At 49.1% G+C, this 14,896-nt stretch overlaps 1 annotated feature.

Moving 5' to 3' along the window:
* Positions 8,795 to 8,972: a silencer, noted in NCBI's record as "fragment chr12:108976096-108976273 (GRCh37/hg19 assembly coordinates)". NCBI's record gives its function as "represses an EF-1alpha promoter that drives an FKBP-Casp9 reporter gene in an ReSE screen in phorbol 12-myristate 13-acetate-treated (for megakaryocytic differentiation) K562 erythroleukemia cells {active_cell/tissue: K562(+PMA)}" and the evidence as "EXISTENCE:reporter gene assay evidence [ECO:0000049][PMID:32094911]".

The raw sequence follows: 14,896 nt of genomic DNA on the forward strand, positions 1-14,896 counted from the left end.
TCTACTGCTATTTTCACTATTACTATTTGCATTGGTATTATTACAGGCACACCTCAGAGATGTTGCAGGTTCGGCTCCAGGTCACTGCAATAAAGTAAATGTTGCAATAAAACGAGTCACACAAATTTTCCCAGTGCATATAAAACTTATGTTTACACTAAACTGGAGTCTGTTAAGTGTGCAATAGCATTATATCTAAAAAAAAAAAACCCAATGTGCATACCTTAATATAAACATAGTTTGTTGCTAAAAAAAAATGCTAACAGTCATTGGAGGCTTCGGTAAGTCATTATCTTTTTGCTGGTGGAGGGTCTTGCCTCAATTTTGACAGCTGCTGACTGATCAGGCTGGGAGTTGCAGAAGGTTGAGGTGGTTGTGGCAATGTCTTTTTTTTTTTTTTTTTTTTTTTTTTTTTTGAGATGGAATCTCGCTCTGTCGCCCAAGCTGGAGTGCAGGGCTGCGATCGATCTTGGCTCACTGCAAACTCTGCCTCCCAGGTTCAAGCAATTCTCCTGCCCGAGTAGCTGGGATTATAGGCATGTGCCACCATGCCTGGCAAATTTTTTTTATTTTTAATAGAGATGGTGTTTCGCCATATTGGCCAGGCTGGTCTTGAACTGCTGAACTCAGGTGATCCGCCCTCCTCGGCCTCCCAAAGTGCTGGGATTACAGGCACGAGCCACTGCACCCAGCCATAATTTCTTAAAATAAGACAACGCTGAAGTTCATCACTTTGATTGCCTTTTCCTTTCACAAAAGATTTCTCTACAGCCTGTGGTGTTAGTTGATAGCATTTTACCCATGGTAGAACTTCTTTCAAAATTGGAACCTATTTTCTCAAACTCTGCCACTGCTTCACCAAATTTATTTCCTTCCTTCCTTCCTTCCTTCCTTTCTTCTCTCTCTCTCTCCCCTTTCTTTTTCTTTCTTTCTTTTTCTTTCTTTCCTTTCCCTTCCTTCCTTCCTTCTCTCTCTCTCTCCTTTCTTTCTTTCTCTTTCTTTCTTTTTCTTTCTTTCCTTTCCCTTCCTTCCTTCCTTTCTTTCCTTCCCTTCCTTATTTTGAGTCAGAGTCTTGCTCTGTTGCCCAGGCTGGAGTGCAGTGGCACAACCTCAGCTCCCTGCAACCTCCGCCTCCTGGGTTCAAGTGGTTCTTGTGCCTCAGCCTCGCAAGTAGCTGGGATTACAGGCGTGCACCACCATGCCCAGCTAATTTTTGTATTTTTAGTAGAAATGGGGTTTCCCCGTGTTGACCAGCTGGTCTCAAAGTCCTGTCCTCAAGTGATCCACCTGCCTCAGCCTCCTAAAGTTCTGGGATTACAGGCATGAGCCACCATGCCAGGCCCACCAATTATACTTATGTAATGTTCTAAATCATTTATTGTTCTTTCGACAATGTTCACAGCATCTTCACTGGGAGTAGATTCCATTTCAAGAACCATTTTCTTTGTTTATCCATAAGAAACAACTCCTCATCTACAGACTCTAGTTCTAATTCTAGTTCTCTTGCTATTTCCACCACACCTGTCGTGTGGATTCTCTCTCTGTCGCCAAGGCTGGAGTGCAGTGGTGCGATCTTGGCTCACTGCAACCTCCGCCTCCCAGGTTCAAGCAATCCTTGTGCCTCAGCCTCCTGAGTAGCTGGGATTACAGGTGTGTGCCACCACACCTGTCTAATTTTTGTATTTTTAGTAGAGATGGGTTTTCACCATGTTGGCCAGGCTGGTCTCAAACTCCTGACCTCAAGTGATCTGCCCGCCTCCACCTCCCAAAGAGTTGGGATTACAGGCATGAGGCACCGGGCCCAGCCAAAATGTGTTGTTTAATTTTAATAGAGATGGGGGTCTCGCTATGTTACCCAAGCTGGTCTCGAACTCCTGGTCTTAAGCTATCCTCCTGCCTTGGCCTCCCAAACTGCCAGGATTACAAGTGTGAGCCACCACACCCAGCTGAAAATTTGTTGTTTAGTGTAGTCGTCTTCGTCAGTGATCATAGCTAGGTCTTCTGGATAACTTGATGTGATTCTCCATCAGCACTTGCTGCTGCCCCTTGCACTTTTATGTTATGGAGATGGCTTCTTTAAACTTCATGAACCAACCTCTGCTAGCTTCCAGCTTTTCTTCTGCAGATTCCTCACCTCCATCAGTCTCCATAGAATTGAAGAGAGTTAGGGCCTTGCTCTAGATTGGGCTTCGGCTTACGGAAATGTTGTGGCTGGTTTGATCTTCTCTCCAGACCATGGTGATGTGCAATCCACAACAGCAATAAGGCTGCTTTGCTTTCTTTTTTTTTTTTTTTTTTAGACAGAGTCTCACTCTGTTGCCCAGGCTAGAGTGTAGTGGCATGATCTTGGCTCACTGCAACCTCTACCTCCCGGGTTCAAGCAATTCTCTGCCTCAGCCTCCCGAGCAGCTGGGATTACAGGCACGTGCCATCGTGCCAAGATAATTTTTGTATTTTTAGTAGAGACAGGGTTTCACCATCTTGGCCAGGCTGGTCTTGAACTCCTGACCTCGTGATCCACCCACCTTGGCCTCCCAAAGTGCTGGGATTACAGGCATGAGCCACCGCGCCCGGCCAGCTGTTTTGCTTTCTTATCGCTTGTGTGTTCACTGGAGTAGTGCTTTCAGTTTCCTTCAAGTCCTTTTCCTTTGCATTCACAACTTGGCTAACAATTAGGTGCAAGAGGCCTTCCTTTCAGCCTGTCTCAGCTTTCAACATGCCTTCTTCACCAAGTGTAATGATTTCTAGCTTTTGATTTAAAGTGAGAGAAGTGCAACTCTTCCTTGAACACTTAGGAAGCCATTGTAGGGTTATTAACTGACTAATTTCAATATTTTTGTATTTCTCTAGGAATAGGGAGGTTACAGGAGAGGGAGAGAGGGTAACAGCTCATTGGTGGAGCAGTCAGAATATACACAACATTTATTGATTAAGGTCACTGTCTTACATGGGCACAGTTCGTGGTGCCCCAAAACGATTACTGATGCATGATGAAAAGGTTTGAAATATTATGAGAATTACCAAAATATGACACAGAGACACAAAGTGAGTATACACTACTGGAAACACAGTGCTGATAGACTTGCTCAAGACAGGTTGCCATAAACCTTTAATGCATAAAAAACACAGTATCATGGAAGCACAATAAAATGAGGTGGGCCGCAGATTACCATGACTAATACTAACTATTGGTCCTATTACTACTATTGTTGCTACTGCTACTATGAACTATTTTTAAAATATGATCACCTCAAGGCTTCCAAGCTCTGGTGTCTTTGGCATAGAACCAACCCTCACAGTCCAGCCTCCAACATTCTGCAAAGCTGTGGCCTGTCTGCATCCATGCAGGAGACACCCTGACGTGATTTCTGTCACACATGGCTTGACAGGCAAGCTCATCCCACAGCGAGTGGCCAACCACGGGCCACAGCTATTCCCCACACCCATTCTCTAATACCACCACCCCGCCCAGCTATCTTTGGAAATGTCACATTAGACACTCCAGCCCATGGCCTCACCTCAAAGAAACCCAACTCCCAGAATAACTCCAAAAGGCTCCCCAGGTGAGAACAACTTTATTATCCTGGAGCTGCTGGTGCAAAGGGACTTCCAGGGGCCTCCCATCCTGCCCCCAGGACCTCAGTCCTATCCGTCAAAGGAAGCCCCAGTGGGGAAATGGGGCTGGATTCCCTTCTGCCCCAAACCTCCTCAATAGGCAGCCCTATGTCACTGGCCCCTTTGTGGGCAAGACCACAGGACATTAGGGAACGACTTTGGGCAAGGTCTTGGGGGCTCAGGTTCTGATCCCAGCTCTGCTGTGATCTCTCCATGTGACCTTACGCAAGTACTTAAGCTCTCTGAGCTTTGGTTTTTCTTTCTGAAAAAACAGGAGACAACTAGCTCCTAAGTCATGGATTATTGCGAGGATTAAATAAATTATCCCATGTAAAGTGAAAAAAGCACAGTTCCAGGCATGTAGTAGGTGTTCAATAAATGTTGGCTATCATCACCATCCTCACCATCACCATCACCACCACCACCATTACCTTCATCATCACCATCCTCACCATCACCATCACCACCATTACCATCATCATCACCATCCTCACCATCACCACCACCACCATTACCATCATCATCACCATCCTCACCATCACCACCACCACCATTACCATCATCATCACCATCACCATCATCATCATCACCATAAAAAATCATCAGCTCTGCTGTAGTTGTTATTGCTACCAATCCCTGCTATGGACTAAGGTATATCCCCTCAAAATTCTTATGTAGAAGCTTTAATCCCCAATGTGACTATATTTGAAGAGAGGATCTGCAAGAGGTAATTAGGGTTACATGAGTTTATAAAAGTGGCATCATAATCTGAAAGAACTGGTGGTCTTATAAGAAAGAACTGGTGGCTCTTCTTATAAGGCTCACACCTGTAATCCCAACACTTTGGGAGGCTGAGGTGGGACGATCGCTTGAGGCCATGAGTTAAGGACTAGCCTGGGCAACATAGCAAGACCCCATCTCTAAAAATGAAAATAGCTGTGTGTGGTGGTACAAGCTGGTAGTCCTAGCTATTCAGGAGGCTGAAGTGGGAGTATTGTTTGAGTCCAGGAGGTCAGGGCTGTAGTGAGCTATGATTATGCCACTGTACTCCAGCCTGGGTGACAGAGACCTTGTCTCAAAATAGCAAAACAAAACAAAAAGGAAGTCTCTCAGTGTGCACTCACATGAAAGGCCATGTGACATGTGAGGACAAAGTGACCATCTATATGCCTGAAAGAGGAGGACCCTTCACCAGAAATCAGACATGCCAGAACCTTGATTTTGGACTCTGTTGTGTAAGCTACTCAGTTTGTAGTATTTTGTTATGGCACCTTGAACACTAATACAATCATCACCATCATCATTATCATCATCATCAGTATCATCATCATCATCGTCATCATCACCATCATCATGAACATCGCCATTGCCATCATCACCACTATCATCACCACCCCCATCATCACAACTCCCATTATCACCAGCCCCATTATCACCAGCCCCATTATCATCACCACCACCATCACCACCACCATCACCATCACCATCACCACCACCACCATCACAACCACCACCACCATCACCACCACCTCCATCACCACCACCACCTCCTTCTCCATCTCCACTGCCACCACCTGTTTCACCTTCACCATCACCACCATAACTTCTACCATCACCACCACCTCCACCATTACCACCTCTACCACCATTATTACCACCACCTCTACCACCACATCCACCACCATCACCATCATCATTGTGTCCACCAACATTACAACCATTTCCACTGTCACCACCTCCACCGCCACCATCACAACCACCTCCTTCTCCACATCCACCATCGCCTCCACCACCACCACTTCCTTCACCATCATCTCACCACCACCTCCACCTTCACTATCACCTCTACCACCACCACCATTAACACCATTACCACAATGATCACCATGACCACCTCTTCCACCATTACCACCTACACCACCACCACTATCACAACCACCATCTCCACCTCCACCTCTTCTCCACCCCTACTACCAAGACCTCTACCATCACCACCACCTTCATCATCACCTCCACCATCACCACCTCCACAACCGCCACCATTACTATCTCCACCTCCACTACCACTGTCTCCCTCCCCTTCATCATCACTACCTCCACCTCCACCACCACAACCAGCACTCTATTGAATTAGATGTTTTAGTGATTACAATAAGGCACATAAAAAAATAAATGAAGCGAAGAACATAGAAAGGAAGTGATAAATCTTCTTTTCTGTGGATGCTTCGATCATCTACCTAGAGTTCATTCTTGAATGAGCACTGGACAGAGTCAGGTGACCTGGACTAGAGACTGGCCTTGGCCATGACCTTTCTGGACAACTTGAGTCTCAGTTTCCCATCCATAGCTTGAGTGGAGGGACTAGAACAACTGTTTGCAAACTATGCTTCACTGAGCCTGAGGCCCCTATGGGGGCAAAGGGAAGTGAGCCTATCCCATCCCTTTCAAGGGTGTAGCTCTACTTTCATTTGACTTACATGTTAGGATTCCTTTATGTGAACAAAGGGTTCTGTGCCTCAAAAAAGTTGAAAATCACTGGATACACAACCAATGCAAGTATAGACTACAGATAGAAACAGGTAATTCACTGGAGAGAAGCCGGAGAAGCCAGAGCTCCATAAGAGACAGGCCCCTGGCTGGGTGCAGTGGCTCACACCTGTAATCCCAGCACTTTGGGAGGCCAAGGCAGGAGGATCACTTGAGCTAAGGAGTTTGAGACCAGTCTGGGTAACATAGCAAGACTCCATCTCTATAAAAAGAAAAAAATATTAGCCAAGCATGATGGCATGCATTTGTGGTCCCAGCTACTCTGAGGGAGGCTGAGATGAGAGGATCACTTGGGCCTAGGAGATTGAGGCTGCAGTAAGCTATGACTGCACCACTGCACTCCAACCTGGGGTGACAGAGCAAGGCCCTATCTCAAACAAACAAACAAAAAGAGTCAAAGCCCTGAGCCTCTCACTGGACAAGATGACTGTTTCTTCAACCCCACTACACTATTGCACACATAGATTATTTCCTTTTTTTTCACTTATTCTTTTTTTTTTCTAAGATGGAGTCTCGCTCTGTTGCCCAGGTTGGAGTGCAGTGGTGTGATCTCAGTTCACTGCAGCCTCCACCTCCCAGGTTCAAGAGATTCTTCTCCCTCAGCCTCCCAAGTAGCCGGGATTACAGGGTCCTGCCACCACACCTGGCTATTTCTTGTATTTTTAGTAGAAATGGGGTTTCACCATGTTGGCCAGGCTGGTCTCGAGCTCCTGACCTCAAGTGATCCTCTCATCTTGGCCTCCCAGAGTGCTGGGATAACAGGAGAGAGCCACTGCACCCAGCCTAGCCCTCTCTTTTCACTTATTCTAAACAACACTAGCATGAACAACCTTGTGTGCCCATCTTAGCATCCAAACACAAGTATTTCTGCAGGCAAGTTCCAGAAAAGAATTTCTGGGTCAAAGGGCAGCACATTTACAACACTAGGTGGATGCAGCCATGTGACTCTCCAAGAAAGACATTTATCTCCATCACAGTCTGCTCCAAACCAGACAGCACAAAGAATCAGATCTGGACAAGGACGAGATGTTCTTATCTTATGAGAGGTCATGGGAAGAATTCAAGAGTGTTTCTAACTGGCTCCTCAATAGCTGGCCCAGTCCTCCAGCCAGAGCTCTGCTGCAGGCCAGAATGTGGGGAAACCGGCCTTTGGCCACCCTGCGTGACTTAGGTTATATAGCAGAAAGAACTTCCAGAGAGTGAGGGGTTGTGAGATCATGGAGAAAGGACCAAAGGAACTAGGTTTCTCCCAGGAGTCTCTTAAAATAGGGGATGGGCAGAGGAGTTGATCTCTCTGGGATGGATTAAAGTGAGGAAAGAGTCCAGTTTCTCCTGAGACCTTGTGCAAGAATTGAGTGAATTTTTTTTTTTTTTTTAAGATAGGGTCAAACTCTGTCGCCAGGCTGAAGTGCAGTGGCACAACCACAGCTCACTGCAGCCTCAACTTCCCAGGCTCAAGTGATTCTCCCACCTCAGCCTCCTGACTAGCTGGGACTACAGGCATGCGCTACCATGCCCGGCTAATTTTTGTATTTTTTGTAGAGACGGGGTCTTGTCATGTTGCCCAGGGTGGGCTCAAACTCCTGGGCTCAAGCGATCTGCCTGCCTCAGCCTCTCAAAGTGCTGGGATTACAGGCGTGAGCCACCATGCCTGGCCCAGTTCTTTTTATTTAGGGAAAAATGCCATCCTGTATCTCCTTTTCCTCCAGCGCTAACCATAATACTGCCCTGGAACACAGGGTTTGGGACTCACCAGCTCCAGCACAAGCCTCATTCTTCCCTTCCTCTGTCCAGCTGTGGTCCAGAAAGGGCAAGCAACCTGCCCCAGGCGGCACAGCCAGGGAGGGGGCAGGGCCGGACCTCCACCCTGGGGCTCCCAACCGAGGCCCAGGACCTGCCCAAGGACCCCGCCCACCCCCCACCTCCATGTCGGATTCTGGAGAGCCCCAGGGCTGCGGGCCTGACTCCAGATTCCGTGGACACTCAGCACCTCCCGCATGCAGCGCCTGGAGCAGGAGTAAGAGTCTGAGTCCAGCAGGCCTGGCGTGGTCATGCACTAGCCACGAGCCCCCGGTCAGGCCACTTCAGCCGCCGTGGGCTTCCCGCGCTGTAAGATGGGGATAAACAGCAGCCCGCTGGGTCATCCTTCGCGGGGCTAGGATGCTATGCGCCCCACCAGCTTGGGTTCTCCTCCCGCGCTGGGTGCGCGCATGCGCCGTTTGTGAGCAGACAAGAAGGGCTCAGACCAGCGGAGGCGTTTGTGGTCAAATCCTCCGGGCTGCTGCCGACTGAGCTGTGGGGCTACTCAGATGTTGGATACATTAGCCTTGGGCCCCATCCCCCATTCATTCATTCATGCATACATGCATGCATTCATTCATTCATGGGATTGCAGGCACAGTGGAGCACTGGTTAGTGCTACAGGGTCCAACAACCCCAAAAGGTTCAAAGCTGGGCGCAGGCACTTTCTGGCTGTATGACCTTGGGCAAGTCACTTCACCTCTCTGAGCTTCTGCACCTTCCTGTGTAGAAGGTGGATAACAGCGGTGTTTCCCGCAGCTTTGTGAGGACCCGATGTATAGAAAGTGCTTAGTACCATGCCTGGTACACAGTGGTGCTCAAGAAGTGATAGAAATCCTAATGGTGAGATTTAAACACTGAGGAAGGACAGAGGTGGGAGGTATGGGGGTCGAGGGGGTTTCCCTGAGCTCCTCATATCACAGCCACCCCCCGGGGGCAGGAGCAGAGGAGATATCCAATGCCTTTGATGCCATGCATCCCCTCTGCTCCTCATTCGAGGGCCCAGCCTTGAAAAGGGCATAGCACTCCCTTCTCAACATTTATTGAGCACCTACTGGGTGCCTAGCTCCACACTGGACTCTAAGCACCAGGGCTCGGAGGAGGAGCCACCCAATCTCACAAATCAGAACTGCCCGAGGGAGGCAGCGTGCTCTTTAGAGCTTCCTGAGGGCAAGGGCAGCAGGGATCATTGGAACCACCCTTATTCCATCCTGGGCCCTGGGCCATGCACCCCACCAGCGTTTTCTCCTCGGGACCCCAACAGGGCAGGACCTGTGGGTTCGCAGGTGAAGCCCTGAGGCTCCAAAAGGAGGCCGAAGCTGCTCCACATCACAGCCTGGATGTGGAATTTGAAGGCTGGGATTTGAACCCAAGTCTTCTGGGAGGTGAGTCAGACGCCTTGCGCTCTTCCCCCACTGTGCCTGGAGAACGTTGCTACCTAGGGTCCATGCTGACAAGTTTATATAGATGGGAACATAACAGAGAGAAGGCGGAAGTTCCAGGTCACCCAGTCATTAGCCCAGCTGGGTCCCCCTTCTCCTTCCACCCAGAAATAGCCCTGGCGCCTGCCCCAGACCAGCCCTAGCCTCTGGGCTCCCCGACGCTTGTCACCAGTTACATCTCCAGCCACACTGGCCCAGACAACATCTAAGCCCTGGTTGTGGTCGCCGCACCCCAGAGGAAGACAGGGAACAGCTGAGGCATGACCCCTCACCTCACTGGGTGCACAGCCCCCGCAGAGGCATGCATGGATTGGAGGGCCTTTTTGCCACCCAGAGGGTAAAGGGAACCTGTCTCTTCTCCAGCCACATCCTTCGCCCCTCCCTGGGGTTTGCAGGTCTTCCCTGGCTCCTGGCCCTGCTCTGGCCTCTCCAACACTTCCACTGCCCTGCCCCCTATGAAAAGATGTTAAGACTGTAAAGTTTCAAGCATCTGAGAATACTGATCTTATGATTCTGAAGCCTCTAAACTAGACCTGGAAAGAAAAGGTGACTCTAGAACAGCTGGATGTTTAGAGATAGAAGTTTCCCCCTTTCCCCTTCTGCGGGCATTGCACTTCACAGTTCACAGCTAACCACAGCTTACATTCCCACAGGCAGCCCATTCCAAGCACTTTAATAAATGAACTCAACTCTCACCCACACTCCAAGGTAGGTACCACCATTATTGCCATTTCACAGATCAGGAAACGCAGGCCTACAGGAGTTAAGTGATTTATCCAGGGGAGATAGTAGAACTAGGATTCCAGCCCAGGTCATCTGAAACCTGCACCCCTAACCACCATACACACTTCTGGGAACATTTGTAAAGTGCATCCATATTTCTTAGCCTCACTGTATTCTGGGGGAAGAGGAGAGGCAGGGCAGGGGCTGTGGCCCCAGTGCCCTTCTACCTCCCTCTGCCCTTTGCTGTCTGTAATCTTTGACCCCTATGACCCCTGAAGGGGGAAGAAGAAGGATGCAGTCCCCATCCCTCCTCTTCCCCCTCCAGCTCTGCCAGTTGGGCCTGACTGCCCATACTCTAAGGGAGAGGCTGCAGGTGGTCACCCCCAAGCCTGGACTCTCCAGCCTTCCAGGGCACCCCAGGTGTCACTACAGGGCCCCAGTGGGTGGTAGACATCGCAGGGGCCTCAGTGGCCAGAGTGGATTTACCAGCAGGGCTGTTATTTGCTTTGCAGCTGCCACCATAAACCCTGGACGCCCCTGGGGAGAGGGAGCAGCTGCCGGGAAACCTCCCGGGCCCTGGAGCCGTCACCAAATCCCTGCTGCTATTTCTGAGCAGCCAAAGGAATCCTGAAATTAAAACCTTCTGAAAAAAATGGCAATTCCCCGTCCCACTCCAGACAGATGAAGATACTTCTCCCAAAATAGATGAAGAACCAAGGAGGAAACAGCGCAGAGCTGGACACAGCTCAAGACTTCCCACAAGAGACCTGATTCCTGCCCAGCTCTGCCCCACCCAAGCCCCTGTCTGGTCCTCACCTGCCCGACTATAAAATAAAGGGCTGGGATCCTCAACTTTAGTACATCAGAATCACCTGCAGAGCTGAAACAGCACTCAGGGGTCCCAGGTGATGCTGATGTCCTCTGAACCTTAGAAGTTTCCCTAAAGTCACTTTCAGCTCACACATCCCCACTCTTTAAGGTTTGACACTCCAACTACTGGCTGTGTGATGTTGGATGAGTCACTTGACCCCTCTGAGTCTCCATTCTTCTCATCTGTATAATGGAGAGAAAGAATGATCACCTCCTCTTGAAGGTTGTGAGGAAAAAATCAAATAACATTAGTAGTTCATAGCAACTTTGTAATATCCCAAAACTGGAAACCATCCAAATGTCCATTAGCAGGTGAATGGATAAAGAAATTGTGGTACATCCATATGACAGAATGCTACCTAGCGATGAAAAAGAGTGAGATATTGATACTACAAAAACATGAATACATCTCAAAACATGTATGCAGAGTGAAAGAAGCCAGGCGGAAAAGACAACACACATTGTATGTTTCCACTTGTAGAAAATTCCAGAAAAATTAAAACCATTCATAGTGACAGAAAGCAAATCAATAGTTGCCTGGTCATTAGCGGAGGGAGGAAGGATGAGAAGGAAGAGTAAGGAAGGATTATGAAGGGGTACCAGGGAACTTCTGGAGGTGATGGAATGTTCATTATTTTGATCGTGATGACCGTTCTGGTGTAAACACATGTCAAAAATCATCAAAATGTACACTTTTCTTTTTGTTTGGTTTTTTGTTGTTTTTTGGTTCTTGTTGTTGTTGTTGTTGTTGTTGTTGTTGTTTTTGAGATGTAGTCTCACTCTGTCACCAGGCTGGAGTGCAGTGGCACGATCTCGGCTCACTGCAACCTCTGCCTCCTGGGTTCAAGAGATTCTCCTGCCCCACCCTCCCGAGTAGCTGAGACTGCAGGTGCCAACCACCACACACAGCTACTTTTTGTATTTTTAGTAGAGATGGGGTTTCACCATGTTGGCCAGGATGGTCTCAATCTCCTGACCTCGTGATCCACCTGCCTCGGCCTCACAAAGTGCTGGGATTACAGGTGTGAGCCACCACATGCAGCCGGGTTTTTTTGTTTTGTTTTGTTTTTTGTTTTTTTGGGTTTTTGGGGGTTTTTTTGTTTTGAGACAAGGTCTCGCTCTGTCACCCATGCTGGAGTGCAGTGGTGCAGTCACAGCTTACTGCAGCCTCAACCTCCTGGACTCAAGCGATCCTCCCATCTCAGCCTCCCAAGTAGTTGGGACAACACGCACGCCACTGTGCCAGCTAATTTTTGTATTTTTTGTAGAGATGGGGTTTCACCATGTTGCCCAGGCTAGTCTCAAACTCCAGGGCTCAAGGGATCCTCCCACCTCAGCCTCCAAAGCACTGACATTACAGGCGTGAGCCATCAGCATCTGGCCCTGGCTAATTTAATTTTTTTTTTTTTGGTAGAGATTGGGTTGGGGGTGCTCACTACATTGCCAGGCTGGCCTCAAGTGATCCTCCTGCTTTGACCTCCCAAAGTGCTGGAATTACAGGTATGAGCCGCTGGGCCTGGCCAAATTGTACACTTTAAATATGTGCATTTTATTCTGTGTCAGTTAACCCTCGGTAAAGCTGTAAAAAATATTATTGGCAAAGCACCAGCCATGTGCATAATAGCCCTTTTACAAATGGCAGCTATTTCTGTTATTAATCACTGTAGCTGCGTCTAGATCATTCTTTGATTAATTTTCATCTGTTCCACTAGAATACAGCTTCAGGTCTGTTGTGCTAACACTGTGTTCCCAATACCCGGCACATAGTAGGTGCTTATGAAATAGTTGTGGTTGCAAATCGGAGAAGCTACGAACCTGCTACTTTCTCCTGGGCCACCTCACAACCCAGAGGGTTAATTAATCCCAACAGGAGCAGATTGGATGATTCTAGGCCTGTGTGAATGAGACACACAGGACAGGCGAGACACACAGGACAGGCATGACCCACAGTCAACACCCCCGGGAGAAGGAGGACAGAGGAGGTCGAAACAGGGATGCAGGACCTATGATGAAACTCACACCCCACTGCACCGATAGTGGAAGACTCGGCCTTTAGACCATAGATATGTTCTAAAATGAGGCAGCTGAAGAGCCTTGAGGAACTAGACAGACCTGGGTTCGAATCCCAGCTTCGCCGGGCTGTGCGACCTCAAGCAAGTCACTGCAACTCTCTGAGCCTCAGTTTCTTCATCTGTGCAATGCGGGTACTGACATTGCTCAGCTCTCTGTGGGGAATGCAGTGAGGGTTAAATATGGTTATGGATATATGGTTATGGATGTATGGTACACTGATTCATATGCCCTCCTTCAGCCTTACACACTTGTACATGCACACACACGGAACCCCTACTGTGTGCCAGGAACCATGCCAAGCGCTAGAGAGGCAGTGGTGGGCCAACCCCCAGGCTTCTCTCCTTGTGGACTTTGCATCTTAAGTGACAGTTGCTCAGCTGTATCCTCAGAGAATCTGATGTCATTGGTCTAGGTGGGGCCCAGGAGCCAGTATTTTAATTTTTTAATTTTAATGGGGTCTCACCATGTTACCCAGACTGGTCTCAAAATCCTGAGCCCAAGCAATCCTCCTGCTTCAATTTCCCAAAGTATTGGAATTACAGACATGAGCCAGCATACCTGGCCTAGATGTCAACTTTTTTTTGAGACAGGGTCTCGCTCTGTCACTGAGGCTGGAGTGCAGTGGTGCGATCACAGCTCACTGCAGCCTCAACCTCCTGGGCTCAGTCAATCCTCCTGCCTTAGCCTCCCAAATAGCTGGGACCACAGGTGCCCACCACCACTCCTGGATATTTATTATTATTATTATTATTATTATTATTATTATTTTAAAGACAGGGTCTCCCTATGTTGCCCAGGCTGGTCTCAAACTCCTGGTACAAGTGAGCCTCCTGTCTTGGCCTCCCAAAGTGCTGGGATTATAGGTGTGAGCCACCTAGCACCTGGCTAGGAGCCAGTATTTTGTTAAACTCCCAGGTAATCCCAATGTGCAGGTGGAGACCCCTGCTACATGGGATAGGGTCATTCCCTCTTTACACACATGAAAACGGAGGCCCAGAGAGTTGAGGCGACTTGCCCAAGGCTCCACAGCTAAGAAAGAGTGGAGCTGGGACTGGACCCAGACAAGGTGACCATGGGACCAGAACCACCTGAAACATCACAAGAGGGTTAAAGACAATGTGCCCAGCAGAGATGTGCCCACTGCCCAATCTCACTCTCACCTTCGACTTGACCCCAGCCAGGGAACGCCCAGCCCTCCTGGGCTGATCAGAGCAGAGCAAGGGGCTGGGAAGGAGTCCCGCTTCCAACCAGTGGCCCTTTAGCACCCCCAACACCCACACAGTTGACCAGAATCCCCCATCTCTACCCTGAGCTGGGGTTGAGGCCTTGGGGTAGTTTTGCTCCTCCTCCCCCTCCCCCTTTAGAATGACAGCAGGCCTGGCTCGGGGACAGACTCACAGGCTGGTGGCAGCTGTGCCGTTTTACAAGCCCAGAGACAGTGGGGGGACTGTTCAGGCCCTGGCAGACTCCTGGGCCCCTGAGAACAGTGGAACCCTCTCCCTCAGCCTCAAGCCCAAATCTCCCCCAATCCTGCTTACCCCCCAGCAACCACCGTCTCCCTCTATGGCTCAGTGTTCACTGGTGCCCAGCCAGATGTGTGCCCATAAAATGCCCCTTCTAGGTAACCCCATCTCAGATGTAAGAGCAGATTGGAGTGGCTTTAAGCAGGAGAGGAGCCCTGCTGCCCCCTTCCCAAGGGATTCATTCATTCATTCTTCAAAGAAGCATTAGAGCCCAGTGGAGAATTCAGACGCTGGAATCAAATTGCTGGGCTGGAATCCTGGCTCTGGGACCTGGGCAGCCGACATCATCACCTCTCTGGGCCT

Source organism: Homo sapiens, chromosome 12 (genome assembly GCF_000001405.40).
Source record: "Homo sapiens chromosome 12, GRCh38.p14 Primary Assembly".
NCBI lineage: Eukaryota > Metazoa > Chordata > Mammalia > Primates > Hominidae > Homo > Homo sapiens.